Raw genomic sequence first — 17,450 nt, 5'->3', positions numbered from 1 at the left:
ACATTAAAGGAGTGGATTTATTATGCCAGCTTTTCTGTGAGATGAGCCTGTGGTAGACTAAAGATTGCTTCTTCCTTCCTTCCCCAAGATGTACACTTCCTAATCTCCAGAACCTGTGATTGTTACCCCATATGGCAAAGAAGGGACTTTGCTGATGTAATCAAGTTTAAGGATTCTGAGCTGGGAGATTATTCTAGACTATCGAGGTGGAGTCTAAATGTAATCTAAATGTCCTTGTAACAAAAAAAGAAAAGGCAGAGGGCCAGGCATGATGGCATGTGCCTATAGTCCCAGCTACTTGGGAGGCTGAGGTGGGAGGATCACTTGAACTCAGGAGATCAATATTAGCCTGGACAACATAGTCAGACCCTGTATCTAAAGAAGAAACAAGAAGAAAGAGGCAGAGGGAGTTTTTGCCACATAATAGGAAAAGATAACATGGCAATGAAAAAAGAGATTGGAGTGATGCAACCACAAGCCAAAAGATTGCCAGCAGCCACCTGAGGCTAGAAGAGGCAAGGAATGAATTATTCCATGAAGCCTCTAGAAAAAAACCTATCCTTCTGATACCTTGATGATAGTCAGGTAAGACTCATTTTGAAATTCTGACCTCCAAAATTGTCAGAGAATAAATTTGTATTCTTTTAAGCCACTGAGTTTTTGGTAATTTGTTGTAGCAACGATAGGAAACTAATACAGATCTGCTAGACTGCAGAAACTGCTGGAGAAATTGTACCAGATGGATGATGCACTGTCATCTGAATTGTTCAGAGACTTCTTTTCTCTTGCCACCCAAATTCAACTTGTACATTCTTGTCACTGTGAAGGCTTATGGCAGATATTCACCCATATTTTTTTTTTAACACAACAAAGGCTAGATTAACTTGATGGCTAGTGGAGACTGGATGGAGAGGACTATGCTTAACAATGAAAGAGGTCCTATTCTGATCCAGGTGAAACAGTGATTTGTGTGGAAGCTTATTTGGTCTGGTACTTGGACCTTTAGACCGAAGAGTCCCAAGTGATGCTGTGGGAAAGCAGACAATCCAACACAGAGACATTAAAGCCTCAGGAACCTAGCTGGAGGTGTTTGGTTTGACTACAAGTCTCTCAGCAGTCATTCTTGCTGGCAATTATTAGATTTCTGGTTGTGCATGAAGACCAATGCCCATTTGGTGAATTTTATATGAAAGCCAGAGTTCATTCAATGGGTATGGAGGACAGGAAGAGGCACAACAATTGGCTGACTCTATTGCACTTATTTTGAAGTCTTCTGTTTCTCTGAACTCTTCTTTTAAGCATAATGACAACCACTGTGTATGTGTGAGAATTTACTGTGTGCCAGGAAACATATACAGTACCTAAATTAACAACAAACCAACAAGAGGAATAATATTGAGCACTGTTTTACAGATAAATGCGGCTCAAACAGGTTAAGCACACTGTCTGGATTACACAGCTAGCAAGTTGTAGAGTTGAGATTCAAAGCTGGATCTATGGAACACAGAAGTCTGACCCTAACTTATTTGCAACACTGCCTCTTCTAGTTCAAAAACCTAAAATGGCTGGGAATTATTCCTCTTCTTCTAGTTCTTTTTCTTCTCATACCCAGATACCACCCTTCTATCAAGCAGCAGAGGGTACATAAAGTGGAAGAATTAGAGATCATGAGTTTGTACCCAACCAAATTATCTTATTATTTCCTCCTTCCACTCCATGCACACACCATTTTATGTTCTATAAAGAGAGCCCTATTGAAATATTTTATTTCAATTTGTCTGCTCTCAGTTACAGCTGTGAATAACAATGACTAACACTACGACTACCACCACCGAAACAATCAATAATGTGCATGACACATTATGTAAATTTTTGCAAAACTCATTCATATATAGGCTTTTCTCATTTTCACAGCAATAATTAAGGCATATAATATCCCATTTTATAGGGAAAAACAGCAAAGCTCAAAGAGGTTGAACAAATAGGAGGTCTCCAGTTCATTTCATTCCAAATTTTACTTCCCAGTTAATCAATGGGACTCCATTGACCAACCCACCGCTATACAAGACATCCTAGGTGTCTTTGAAGCCTTGGTCATCCCTTTGTGAGCTGGACTTTGATGGTGTTAAGGCTATTTTGTACACAATCTCTTGGCCACGTTTAGCAAAAAAATGTTGCTTTTATATAGTGACACTTCACGGTTACCTCTGCCTTCAGAGGAAATCAATGTCCTTTCAAAATTTTTCTTCCATGTGTAAGAACAGACCAGCCCTTCTGATGGCTCTACTGCCCCTGTTTGCACTGAGGCACTGAGCTGTATCTAATGCAATCTTCCAGTTTCATCCATTCATTGTATAAATATTTACCAAGAATTTACAATGTATCAGAGACTTTCCTAGCTGATAGTGTTGTTGCAGGACTTTTCCTTAGCTCAGATAAAGATAGGGTCCTTGTCCATCCCATGGCCATGAAAATTTAGGCTCGCAGGTGGTTTGAAGGGTTGGTAAAACAGAGTTTTATTGGGTGAAAAGGAAGAAAAGGAGGAAACAGATACTCTCACAAGGCCAGAGTCCCTGCTAGAATGCTTTCTGCCCGGCCATTCGAAACTCAGTTTCCACACAGGAAGAGGAGGGGAACAGGCTCCTCTCCATTGCAAACAGTGCAGACTTTCCCAGGCTCCATCCCAGTGTGCAGGCTGGCTGGACTTTCTCTGGGGGAAACCCTCCCTCCTGGCCGTCTCATTCCCTGCCCTCCAAAGAAGTACAGCTAACTGCCGTTAGATTAAGGATAAGGATGAAGACTGATCTTAACTGCTTCCTCCTGACAAGAGGCACTGTTTTGGGGAAATGGCAGTCCGAGGTTCCTCAGAGGCCTATCTATGGGTCCCCAGCAGAAGGGGCCATTGCCAGAGGCTCCAGTTGCATGACCGTTTGGTGTTTGATGAACTGAAGGCAAGAACAGACAAACCGGGTTATTAGAAAACATGTATCAAAATGAAACAAGGGTAGGGGTAAGGACAGCTCAAAAATTCCAAGACCTTTTACCAGTTTGCACAGGGAGAGGGAGACCAAAAGCCCAACTGGTAAAAAACTTTATCCTTTTGCTGGCATGTTGGGCTTCTGGGTTTCCTTCCCTTGAGCCCAATCCTAAGCCAATCAGTTTAAGGTTTGGGAAATTAACTCTTTCCAGTTTGCAGGATATATCTGAGGGAAGTGTCTCATAGTATGGAGACACAATAATTACCTCTCAGTGAAGAGAGAACCAAGGAGAAGAAAGAAAAAAAGAGGGTGTTTTTTTAAAGGAGTCCCAAGAGTTCAGAAGTCCCAGTTAGAAGGGATACAGGCTGAAGATGAATGGCTACCCATCTGGAAAGAGTGGAGCAGGCATCCCTGGTTCCCTTCTCTTCCTGGCAGATACCCAGGGTACATGAGGGTCAGAGGGAAGAGCGTCCTCTTTCCGTCTTCCTTCCTTGCATCCCCGAGTCCTGGCGACCTTGGCAGGTGCCATCATGAATGACAAAGCAGCTTGCACCCATGAAGCAGGGAGGGCCTAGAGAACAGGAATTATCAGCTCTCACCTGTGCCTCCTCCCTGCCTACTGTCAGTAGCCTTGGAGTTCCCTGGACCTCATTTATGTCGTGGATATTAATGTGGCCTTTATCTGTGAAACAGGAAGCTTGGGGTTGTCTTAATCAGCAGGAATCAGCCACACTCACCTATGCCGTGTCTTTTAACCTCTGTTGTCATTTGCCTCTGGATCCCTGTTTTTCTTCTTAGGGCTTTGACCAGAAGCTTGGAATTGAGTTTGGGACAAAAATGTGTCTCAGGGAGTTGCATGGACTCCTTATCATAAGCCGAATGCTAAGGTGAAACTGTGGAACTGAGTCCTCCTCCAACAAGGGAGAGAAAAGGATGTCTTGTGACACACCCAGATAGCTGATAGATATCGTTATGCTTGCTAGGATTTGGGTGCACAGTGCTCGGCTTTGGTTAGTTCCCTTCATCTTACTTTCCCAAAAAGGAAACCTCTGGGTGATGGCACCCTACTTATTCCATCACCTGGCAGGATTTGGAGGATAATTGCTCAGAACTAGAAAATTGATCCATATTTCTACATTACCCATTTCTCTTGTCCTTTCTGAGCTGCAACCAGAGATTGCTAGTAGGTTCACAGGAATGAGCAGGATTAGTCTAAAATGTAGGTAAAAACTTAAAAACAACTAATGAGTTTAGAATTTAATGATAAATGTGTAAGTTTTGAAACATGATTCCTCTCTCTACAGTACTCATGTTTGTTAAATAAAACAAATCATCATAGGACTGAGTGGTTTGCAAAATACACTTTAGTCTTATACTTGGCCTGATTATTTGCATAAAGTGCAGCAAGAATAATTATTTCTACAAAGGCCTTTTGGATTGGCTTTAATGGAGCTCTGTTCCCCAAGGAATCTCATGTAAGACCTTTTAAAGCCTAGACCAACCATGAGTTTATCCTCAAATATCTGTGAGTTGGGTGCTCCTCTCCTCTTAAGCTCCTAAGATAAACTTGGAGCTCCTGGACCTGCTAGAAAGTGACATTTTTTTAATTGACCACAGGTCAGGAATCTTGTACGGGGACTGCATAGACAAGGACATGAGGCCAGTTTCCCCATTGGACTTTATTGACTCTGCAAGTTGAGATTGACTCCTTAAAGGGAAGTATACCCTTCCAGTCAAAGCCTTGGTAAAATTACCAGTTTCTCCAATTGCATCCTGTTGCAAAAGAAAAATGGGTTCTTATTGCACTGATGCAAACAACTATATTGCCGTAAGAATGCTCACAGGTAGGTTCTAAATTCTGGAACGACAGGCAGAGAGAAACAAACATGCTCTAAATTTTGATCATAGGAGTATACCTTCTTTAATTATTAAAGGCTGTAAATAGTTCAAAATAAGTTCCCTTGACTCTGAAAAACAAAACAAGATTCAGCAATATTCCATGAAAAAGTCAAAAGTTTGCTTCAGCTTTCTGAGTTCAGTCCATTTAGTTAACTGGTTTTGCTTGATATTTGTGAACATTTTAGCTCTTCATGAGTCCTGTACATTTTTCTTTATTCCAATGTTACAATCTCCAAAGTTATGAGAAACTTGTATTTCAGAGTACCTGTTAAAGTTCTATAGCTTATTATAAACTATCTTTGAAAAAAAAAAAAGGATTAAAACAAGACAACAATGGTCTGTGAATAACAAAATGTCCAGGGTAGTTACACTTAGAAACACAATTGACAGGTTTGTTATCTCTGTGGTTTACAATAACTTAACAACCTTCATTATGATTGATAGCATATGCTAGACATTAGAGTTTTAGAAATCCCATACAATTTTGGAACATATATTAGCATTATTTACCAAAGTATAACCTAAAGAAGATTGAACATCACTTTGGCAATCCCATGTACCTAAACACGTCAAATAATCATGTTTGCTTCTCTTTCTGGACACTTCAGGGGCCCTCTGAAATATTCAAAAAGCCAGGTGCCAGGGAAGACAATTTTGAAACTGAAGTTTGATTTTGGGAGGCTGCTATATATGTTCGGGGTTTAAAACACTTGATGTTATGAAATAGAATTCCAGGTTACCATAAGTTATTTATTTTGCCAAAATGACTCAGAAATTTTAAAGAAGCAAAAAGCTTTTATAACCCTTTAGAAATTTTGCCAAAGAACAGATTAGCCCCTTAGGAAAACCTTATTATTCTTTTATTTCAATGTTAAATTTACAGAAAAACCATATAATATCCTTTTAGGAATTTAGTCAATATGTTCACACAGAGAACCTCTTTTGCAAGATTAATTTCTAGAATTCTTCTACCACTTCTTTGAACCTTCAGCTTTTTCCTAATTTAAAACAATCCTTTAACCCTAGGCCAAAGTTAACATTTCCATACCTTCTTATAAACTTTTACAAAAAAGAAAAAACATTTTACTGTTCTTCCACATCTTCCATGTAAATCTATTTCAGGTAGTCTCAATTACATGTTATAATGGTAACTCCTAGCAATTCTTAACTTTTAAGGGGAAACCTGGTAAGTTGCTATAATTATATCTAGGTGCAGGCAAAGTTTGACTCCCAGCATAATTAAGGGTGTGGTTAGTTCCTTATGTCCTCCTCAGGCCTTACCAGTTGTGAAGCCAGCAAGTCAAATAGTTCTTAAAACTCAAAAAGCAGTTTATAATTTTAAAACACTTAGCAAATCTTGCATCTGACCTTCATTATTTAGCCCACCTATTTACATCTTAATGACACCTGCATTTTACCAATAATATTTAAGTCTGCTTTCATTTCTCAAAGATGAAACTCATGTGAACTGAAAGGTACCACAGCTTTTAACTTCCCTTAAAAAATGTTTGATCCAAGCGCTTATCTTTCTTTAGGCCAAATTAACTAGAGCTCTTTTTACAGACATCACACATAGTACACACACAGGCAGAAGAAAACCCAGTCACTGGGTGGGGCTAGAAGAGACAGGGCTAGAAGAACATGCAGATGCCAAACCAGAAAGAAACTTATTCCCTAAGGCAGGATTACTAAACAAAGCCATGCCCTCAGGATGTAAAACAAGGTGGAGACTCCATTTCACAACCAAAACTTTGCAGAAAACACAAAAAGTGATAATTCTGGAGCCTGCCCTAGTAAAAAATGTTTCTAAAAGAAAAAAAAAAACTTTAAAAGTTAACTTGCTGATAGGGTAGAGAAGGGGAAAGAAAAGAAACAGTTTAAAAATGCCTGGGGAAGAACCTCTTACTCTTACGCAAGTGGTTTCTCCACCATAGACACAAGTTTAATGGCTGTGAGTCAGAGCTGGCCTCCCCCTGGTGTGGGGAGGAGGAGACTCTGTGGATGTGTGGTAGAAAATGTCAGCCAGTAGCTGGTGGCACCTTGGGCTATGTGTCCCAGCCCCGTCAGGGAGGGGAGGGTGGAGGGTAGATGTTGCTCTCTGATCCATCCTGAAAAATGAAGGAAAAGTCCATGAAAAGGCACAAGAGTGATGAGGGGGTAGGGACATGTTTCCTCCACCCTCAGAAGTCCAAGGATGAAAATGCTTAGGAGCAACAGTGAGAGGTTTTGAGTCCCCATTTCACTCACCACTTCTCAGGCCCCATATTGGGTGCCACAAATGTTGCAGGACTTTAGTTTGGCTAAAGATGGGGTCCTTGTCCGTCCCATGGCCATAAAAATTTAGGCTCATAGATGGTTTGAAGGGTGGGTAAAGCAGGGTTTTATTGGGTGAAAAGGAAGAAAAGGAGGAAACAGGGACTCTCACAAGGCTAGAGTCCCTGCTAGAACACTGCCCGCCTGGTCATTTGAATCCCAGTTTCCACACAGGAAGAGGAGGGGCCACGCTCCTCCCTGCTGCAAACGGCATGAACTTCCTAAGGCTCTCTCCCAGTGTGCAGGCTGGCTGGAGTTTCTCTGGGGATCCCCTCCCTCCTGGCTGTCTCAATAGGAAAGTAAAGATGAGCAAAACAAACATGGAGTTAACAGTTTAGTAAGAGAGACAGACAATTAAACTACCGGAAGTACTTGTGTTATTGGGTTACTCTCTTGATGCCCATGTAAGACAGCCTAGATCAGCACCACCCCCCACCTTCCAAATGACCCGAAGACATCTAAGAAATGGATACTTATTGCTATATGCCATGGAGACTTTGTGATTGTTTCACAGCAATTGTTGACCAATAAAGCATCCTTGACAGTTGCAGAGTTGATTTTCACGAAGAGTGATCCAGGAAAATAAATGCTCTGGTTTCACTCTGTTTTCTCCATTCAATATCCTTACAGAGCTAGAGGGCAAAGACGACCATTGATGTAGATCATAGAGATTATCCCTCTGAGATAGAGAATAGGGAGGTGAAGGTAGAGGGTGGATCTAGGTGAAATGGAGACTATCTAGCTCAGAGACCTAAAGGCCAAGTAAAAGCTAACCAGTAAAGGGAGCAAGTACTAAGCTAATGATATAGCATGAGCAAAGGCCCTTGGGTGGGGGACAGCATGGTGCCTTAGAGAAACAGACCAATGTGACAACAAGATAGAGACTGAGATAGTCCATAATGAGAGTTGGAAGGTAGGCAAGGGCCTGTGCTTGGACAAGGATGCATAACTTATTTTGAACTGTCTCTTAAAACGGTTTTTTGCAAGGATAGGGAGTGACATAATTTTATTTATGTTTTTAAAAAGACAACTCTGGCTGCTGGGCTAATAACAGATGTGAAGGGAGGTGAGGGAATATGAGGAGGCCAGTTAGGGAGCTGTTATAATTTACTTCTTCAAATATTGAGTTGTTGCTGCTGAGCCAAGTGACTGCATTAGCCACCTGTAGCATTAAAGTATTACGAGTGCCAAGGGAGGGGCAGTTAGGCAAAGTCAGGACAGAAATAATAGGAATTGTTTCAAATGACAGGGCAGAAATGAGGCTGGCTCCTGTGGTCTGAATGCAGGAAACAGTCTTTTCCAGCTAGAGAGACCTGTGTCAGCAAATAGTTTAACAGAAAGTCACCAAGTGATTAAGGAGGAATGCTCTGCTTCAGAGGAATCCACCTGTCCACAGGCCTGAAAATGATGACTCAGGCCTTTGAACTTCTGCCACTCAGCTTTCTTCCCAGGCTTGTTTGAAGGATGCATTTCATTTGCCCTTTCTATTTGGCTCCCCAGGAATAAGCAGAGCAGAAGGAAGTTTCCAGGAGCCTCAGGTCAAAATATTCAGGGCACATTCCTTCATCTCACCTCCATTCCCAGCTGCTGCTATTGCTGCTGCTGCTGCTATTCTCTCATTGCTCCTTGATGGGCTGGCCATGGGAGAAATCTGCAGTTCCCTGAGGGATCTCCATATCGTCTGCTTAGCAATCATTCCTGAGCCTTCCAGTAATTGCCTGCCAATAGGGAGGAAGAGAAGAAACTGAGAAACCTGCATGGACCACAACTCTTCAATTCCTCATTTCCCTCTCCTGCCTCTTTTTGCACTTATCTCTCTCTGCCTTTCCTGTTTCCTTATTTTTTTCTTTGCTCTATTTGCCTCCAAAGTAATAACCCATTTCTCTTCAATTTCCTGAATGTGATAATCATTTCTGCCAGGCCCAAGGGACGATGAAGTTAATGAAATTTCTGTCAATAACAAGAGGACATTTATTAAATGGAAATTATGTTTAAAGATGAGAGTGAGCATCACTCAAGGCTAAGCGTTCAGAAGAATAAAGAAATTATTTTGAGGAATGTTTTGTTTGGGAAGATTTGTACTAAACATCAACATGTGCAGTACACAGAGCCTCCTTGCTTTAGGGAGCAGATGGAAGAGGTGGCAGAGTTTGGGGCTAAAGAGCTAGATTTTGGAGTCTGGTTGAATCCTGCCTGTGCTGTGGACTACGTGTGTGACCTCGGGAAGGTTACTTAATCTCCCTGCCTCTGTTTCATCTATGAAATGGGAATATCTATAAAAATTTTACTTATGAAGTTCTTGTCATGTGAAGTGAATAAATTCGTATCATATGCTCAAGACAATGTCTGGCATATAGTAAGCATGTTCTAAATGTTTGCTATTATTAGTCTAAATGAGGTCAGTAACAAAAATAATTAATTGCATTTTACAAAAAATTAATTAATGAGGTTCCTTTCAGAAAGAAAAATAAAACTGGAAAATTTGGTTGCTTTTTAGATCATACCTTCAAAAGAAAAATTAGAGTAAAGTAGAAATCATAAAGGAGAATGTAAATACTCTAATTGTTTCACATAATAGTTGAAAGGCTTGCAATAAAATAAAGATGATGTTGGTAATTTAGCATAGTAGGACATACAGCCCTCACCAAAATTACTCAACATATTTATCTTTTTGTTCACCTTCTGAAATGGTATATAGAATCATAAAATGAATTTTTTGTTGGCTACTGTAGCCTTGTTCCCATCACTGGGTAGAAATACTGCGCTTTCAGAATTGATTTAGTTGAGGAGTAGCTGAAATATAGCAAAGGTGATAGGAATCTTTAAGGACACAGTCTGGGCCTTGTTCATTTCTGTATCTCCTGGGCCTATGATAGAAGCTTGCTACATTATATTGCTATGTGGGTATCCAACACTCAATAGATAGATAGGTGAATAAATGACAATCAAAATATTAAGTGAACATGAACACTTGGGGGAGTATTCTTAGCAGAATACGCACACAGACATACACATGCACACAGATAACTAATAATTATTGAGCACATACTATGTACAATTGCTATGTTAAGAACCTTACTTCATTTTATGTTAAATACAACCAGTTAGGTGATATCTCACCCCCACTGTACAGAAGAGAAGACCAAGATTTACAGAGATTAAATGTTATTACACAATTCATATGTATTTGAGCCAAAATTCAAACCCAAACTATCTCTAGTGTTTGTGTGCTTTACAACGACATTATAAAGTAAAATGAAAGGAGGGTGATTTTTTAACTGAAGTATTGCTAAAGTCACCTAAAACACAAAAATTATTTCTTTGGCAAAAGATACAGTTGAATAGAGTATGTTTTCTGGCATAAAACTATTGTAGCAGCATGTTGGTTAGTAATTGCTACAAAACAAAGCACCTTGAAACTCAATGGCTTGAAAAAACAAAAGTGATTATTATTACTTCTGCATCTGCAGGATAGCTGATGTTTGGTTGATCTAGGCTGGGCTGGATTTGACAGTTCTACTTTGCATTGTGGCTCTAGGGTTGGCTGAGGCAGTTTTGCTGACTGTGGTGGCTGGGATGGCTTTGCACCACATGAATTTCCTCTCCCTCCTGGGACTAGGAGTGACCACAGAATGCTCTTATGGAGATGACAGAGCTGCAAGAGGAGAAGGCTCCGCTGGGCAAGTCCCTGCTTGTGTCATAGCAAAGCAAGTTATCTGGTCAAACACAGAGTCAAGAGTTGAGGAGGTTTACCTTACCAGAGGTGGCAGGGGTAACTGTGAAGTCAACAGTGTATCATTTAGAGTGTGATTAGAAAACCAGAACAATAGTGAGTGATATAGCATAAGGGATTTATTACAGGGATTAAAATTTATGCAATTGTGGGAGCTAGTTAAGAAGCCCATGTAAGGCTGTTGCCTCTATATCTGATGTTGGACCCGAGGTAATCAGGGCCAGCAGTTGGAGAAGAAAGTTAGACATAATGTAGTTAGAACAAACGACTGGGATCCATATTAGTCTCTAACTGTCCTCAAATCTGAAGACATGAGTGACTTGCAGGAGAAGTTGGTGCCCTTGGTGTGTGTGGTGAGCTGCACATAGACCTGGCTCAGGAGCTACAGAAGGTGAAGGAGGATTTCCAACAGGAACTGGAAGACCTGTGGGGCTGGCCATGTCAACAAGAGGAGACAGCAAGTCAGTGGGAATGTGGGTGAGCTGCAGCAGTGCATGCCCCACACCCACCTTCAGAGTGTGGGAAATGGCTATTTTACTTCCCTATTCCAAAACTCCATGAAATTTTTCTTGTGGCAAACTTCATCCAGAACCAGATAGAGAAGGACATTTTTGGAAATGTAGTTCCAGTTTAAGCTGACAAAGCAAAGCTGCCACCCACAAAAAGGGTGTGGATTCTGGAAGGGGTCAAATGTTTGTGCTGATAATGCAAATTACCACATATAAGAGCTGTAGAGAAATTGAGTCAATGCACAAAAGAAGTACTTGCATGTCACTACCAATTATTGCTTATTGAAACTGAAGATTTCAATGCTCCTCATCAACTTTATAAATCTTGCCTCTACCATCTCTGAAGAAAGCAACACATGTGGATAATAGTGGGACTGTGAGACAGAAGACGGTAAGTTATATGGTAAAAATAAAAGGAATAGGCCACAGACCGATCATAGTACTCTTTGATAATTCATATTGTACCTACTTTCTGTGTCATACATTTGTTGGGAGTAAAGGGAAAATAAGGGCCACCTCATTTAGAATTTTCTGTGGTCAGGGCTACACAAAAGGGCTTGGAGAAAGTGAGTCAAAAAAATGTTAAATGGCCGTGAAGGAATAAGGCATTCAGGAAAGAGCATTGGCTTAAAGGTCTGGAGACCCAGGTACTATTTCTGATAGAGCACAACTAGTTATACTATCTTAAGTTATTGCACCTCAGTTTCCTCATCTACAAGCAGAAGTGTTGGACCAAATAAATCTCTGGCCACATTCTATGCCTTATGCGCCAGATCGGACCTTATATCCTATCCCTTTGACTTCCATCAGAAAGGCTGCCATGTTTCTGTCTGTCTTATGTTTTCAGCATTGTGCTTAGACTTTGGGGTAAGGGCAGAGGTGGACTTGCAGGTAATGTTGTCCAAGTCAGATACCCAAGTAATAGATTCTCCTGCTACAATAGCTGCTGTAACTTTGGTTAGTACAATTTATCTTTTTTCTGTTTCAATTTATTCACTCTCCTTCCTAAGACAAAGAGCTATGGGTATATGTGAATGCCACTTTGCTCCTTTGGCATAAATCAACTGTCCAAAACAAGGAATTGGGCTAATTCTTTCTTCCTGGAATTAGGGGTTGTACCTAATGAAGTGAGAAGGAAGGAAGAAGGATGGTTGTATGGTGTTAAGGGTAGAAAGGTGTTGAAGTGGCATGTTGGAAGGGAAATGGGGGAAAATAAATCCCTGTAAAACCTAACCTTTTCTTGCTGATTTGTCAGCAAAACTGGGTTTCTGAGTTGAAGCACAGAAAGTGTTGCCCGAGTAACAGTGTATATCTCTTCAACTGGGACTATTTTTTAAAATCATTTTTACTTCTTATTTGTACTTTATGGGGTAAATGTTCAATTTTGTTACATGCACAGACTGTGTAGAAGTCAAGTCAGGGCTTTTAGGGTATCCATCACCCAAAAGCATACGTTGTACCCATTAACCAATTTCTCATCATCCTCCCCTCTCTGAGCTCTCACTCTTCTGAGTCTCCATTGTCCATCATTGCACTCACTACATCCATGCAAACACATTTTTAGCACTAACTTATGAGTGAGAACATATGATATTTTCCTTTCTGTGTCTGGGTTGTTTCACTTAAGATAATGACCTCCAGTTCCATCCCTATGATAATTGACCTCCAGTTCCATCCCTATTGCTGCAAAAGACATAGTTTCATTATTTTTTATGTCTGAATAGAATTTCATTGTATATATATATATACATATGCCATGTTTTTGTTTTGTTTATCCAGTCATCCATTGATGAACACAGGTTGATTCTTTATCATTGCTATTGTGAATACTGCTGCAATAAATGTATAAGTGCAGGCATCTTTTTGATGTACTGATTTATTTTACTTTCAGTATATACCCACTAGTGGGATCAAATGGCAGTTTTGTTCTTAGTTCTTTAAGAAATCTCCATACTGTTTTCCATAGAGGCTGTACTAATTTACATTCCCAAAACAAATGTGTAAGAGTTTCCTTTTCTCTGCATCCTCACCAACATGTTGTTTTTTGTCTTTTTAGTAATAGCCATTCTTACTGGGGTAAGATAATATCTCTTTGTGGTTTTGATTAGCAGTTATCTGATGATTAGTGATGTTGAGCATTATTTCATATACCTGTTGGCCATTTGTTTGTCTTCTTTTGAAAAATGGGACAATATTTTAAATAGAAAATTTAAAGAGTAGAGAATGCATGTATATGCCTGGTCTGGATTAGAGATTGAGAGTTATAGAATCCAGGTTACCTAATGAGCTTCTCCTCTGAATAGTCACTATGGTGTATGAAAAAAATGAACACTGCTGTTTGTGCATTGTATAATGAGAAGAACTGTTTCCAGATAACCCTGGGGGCTACCCTGGCTTATCTGGACAATGGGCCACCTGGAATCAGGATCCCCATTCTCCCAGTGGAAGAGGTTACATTCATGATCAACTTCCTATAGAAGCAGAATCTGTTATCATCTCAATAGCCAATTTTTCCCCAGAATCAGAGCAGCTGGTTTTCTCAGACAACTCTTATAAACAGCTGGCATCCCAAACCCAGACTTCTTGGCAGATGATATTTCTTTATTTCCTTTACCCTTACTATAACAAGGTAAAAAGGGAAAGCTAAATAAGGGGGAAAGGCTACTTCCTCTGGAATAAAATCCACATTATGTCTAGCAGATGCCATGGCTGTATTCATCTGGATGAGATCTAGATGATCTCATCTAGAAAGCATAAGCAAAATCCAGTTACAAGTGCAAGAAATTTACTGGTGGTAATGTCTGTGAAAGATAAGGGGAGAGTAATCAGGGGAAGCAGGAAAAGACTTCAGACCACAGTGTGGATCTAAGACCTATGTCAAGAGAAAAGGAAGGCAGATTTGGGAGGAAGAACCTTGGGCTCTGACGTAGTTCTGGGATAGTTTTTGCCAGTCCAATGGAGAGAGCCAGCTCATATAGGATTTCTACATTGGGCAAAAATGGCCAGGACCTAGTACCAATATGATGCTCATTCATTGGTTGGGAGCTGTTCAGGAAGAGCACGACCTTACTGTGGTAGAACTCAGAGGCCTCCAAAGAGAAACCCATCACTAGTTGTACTCTTTATGGCAGGTCTCCCTTGAGGTGAGGTCTGAGGGACACATCTCCACACCTGCCTCACTGGCTCTGGCCTGCCTTTCAGTGGGAAAATGAAAGACTAAAGTACAACATGCATTTCTATATTGCTGACCTTGACCTTGTGAATTTTCTCATTCCTCAGTAAAATTAATTTCTTAACTTTCATTATGTGACCTTGTATAATAGAATTGGTCCTGAAACTTGGTGCATAAATTGGGTGGAAGTAGGAAACCTACACACCTATCATGATGTAATTAACCCAAGTAAGCAAATCTATGTTCCTCATTTCCCTGCTGCCCAGAGGCCACTGTGGTCATTCTGGGGTGGGTAGGAGAATTATTGCAGTACATGGTTGTTCCTACAACAGCAGTGGTCCTGTGAACCCCTTGGGTTTTAAAAATAACAGTTCATAGAAAGTGCTCCTTAGTACATGTAGATTGAATTGAATAATTTGCTTGTGTTTTTAGCAGTCACAAAAATGATCAGCTTCTGTGAAATGACATCTATTTAAGTACAGTTTGCACAGAATCTATAAAAGCAACAGAGTGGGTGGGTTGCCATTGTATTTAGAGAGGCAATGCTGCTCATGCTCTCCAAGGATAAAGTAGAGAAGACTCAGGGGTGTCATGATGGTTATTACCAAAAAACCTTTTAAAACCAATTTGAGAAAGAAGGGATGAGCAGAGTGCTATGGAATCACACTTCTTTATATTTTAAGCAGGGCCATGTAGCTTAAGGCCAAGTACACCCCTTCATCAGTCCCCCCAAACTGATACTTAAACCCTGCATCAGACATTGTCTGACAATCAGCATTCCCTGTCCTTCTAACTCTCTCCCATACTTCAGGGGCTAGATGTCTGTGAACTGTAGTTCCCAGAATCTCTTGTTTTCATCCCTATGGATATAATTTATGTCCTAATTATTAGATGTACTTTACATGAGGGTGGAGTAGAGGTGGAAGCCATTTTCTTCTTCCCATAGCAGTGGCAGCAGATGATTTTATGGGGCTTTGCGTATAAGCAATTTGTTTGGCTTCTAAGCTTTCCTGATATTCACCTGACTCAGGGCTGCCAAGAAGCAGTGGAGTCCAATGTGTTATTGTCCTCTGGGTGACAGCACATTTCTTTGGCTTGTGAGACTATGACTGTAGCAGTGAAGCTGAAATCTAGTGCCTACTTCCTGCCTTTAACTTATCCACCCCTTTTAACAATTTTGTGATCAGTGAATTATTTGTATTAAACTCTATTTTCTTTGAAACACCTCATCTGTCCGTATTAGTTTTCTTGAATGATTGAAATCTGTCCATAATAGGTGTCCTCTGTCCTCATGTTGGTCATCTTCAGAAACTTAATGGAACCCTATAAATCATAAGAAACCATTTAATTCTAGGGCAGCTATCACCACTAGGACATTTCTTCCTTAGGTCAGTCCTACTTCTGCCTGACTACAATGCTTCTTTGATGTATTTCTATCACTTGTGACCATTTATACTTAATATAATTCTTCTTCCATGTGACAGATATTCAGAGATTTAACGTAGCTTTCTGTCTCCCTCTTAACCACCTGCCCAATATTCTCTTCTCAGGTGGAATGATATTGGTTTCCCTGTAAGTTTCTCACCATCCTGCAGCCTTCTGAGGGTGAGTTGTCCAGCCATTCTTTTGCCTATGATTCTTTTAAAGTAGTCCCTATACATTTTAGCCAATGCTTGATGCTTTATGGTAGAAACTAAACCAAGAATGAGGTGGTCCATAAACAAAGTCAATTTTAAAAATCTGGAAAAAAAATAACTGTAATGAAGATGGCATTCAATGGGTAGCATCTATAATATACAAAGAGCTCTTATAAAATTGACAACAAAGAACAGTTAGAATAAAGTCATAAATATATGCATAAATAAAAGATATAAAAATGGCTGATAAATATAAAATAATATGCTCAAATTCAACCAGTAGCCAGGTAAATTAAAAAACAAAAGTAACACAGAGATATTCCTTCATACCCATTAAAGTGAGAAAATTACTAAAAGAGTGATAACAGTACTTCATAGTGGGAACATGGATAAATTTTTCCACCCAAGTTTTCATGATACGAAAATGAGTATTAGCATATTTTCTGAACATGCAGTCTTGTAATGCCTATAAAATAAAAATTACATACCCCTCGGACCCTGAAATTGTATTCCTGGGAATCTACTCCTAGAAATACACCACCAACATGTAAAAGCATATTTATAAGAAGGTACACTACAGTGATATTTGTGGGGAGAAAAAAGTGGAACATAAAGTGGATGACTAAATAGGGAATTAACAAATAAATAATAGCGACCCACAACACCACTGGATATTACATATTCACTTTTTTAGAAGGCAAAGGCTAAGCTAAATCTCTTTGAGGGATTTATATGAGATTGTGGAATAAAACAGGCAAGATGCAGAAAAATATATGTAACACAATTTTGTTTTCATAAACTGACAATGATTTTAAAACATCAGCCATGAGTGTATGTGTTTGTGTGTGTGTACAGAGAGCCAGAAACAGAGACACAGATACACACACACAGACATATACTTACAAACATATATATACATATATATCAATATAGAAGTATTTGGGTACAGAGAAAAAGAAAAAAAATACATACACTAGATTATCAACATGGCCTTGAGGGAGATAGACAAGGCTAGAAGGGAGAAGGAGAAATAGATGTTCAGTAAAGAAAAAGCAAAAGAAGACCTTTTGATAAAAGCATGTATTGATGCAAGAAATCTTTAAAATATCAAAATAAATGGAGAGATAGTCCATGTTCATTAGAAGACTCAATATTTTTAAAATGTCAGTTATTCCCAATTTTATATATAGATTCAGTGCAATCCTAATC

The sequence above is a fragment of the Homo sapiens genome, chromosome 3 (genome assembly GCF_000001405.40).
Source record: "Homo sapiens chromosome 3, GRCh38.p14 Primary Assembly".
Lineage (NCBI taxonomy): Eukaryota > Metazoa > Chordata > Mammalia > Primates > Hominidae > Homo > Homo sapiens.
This window is presented reverse-complemented; position numbering follows the sequence as displayed.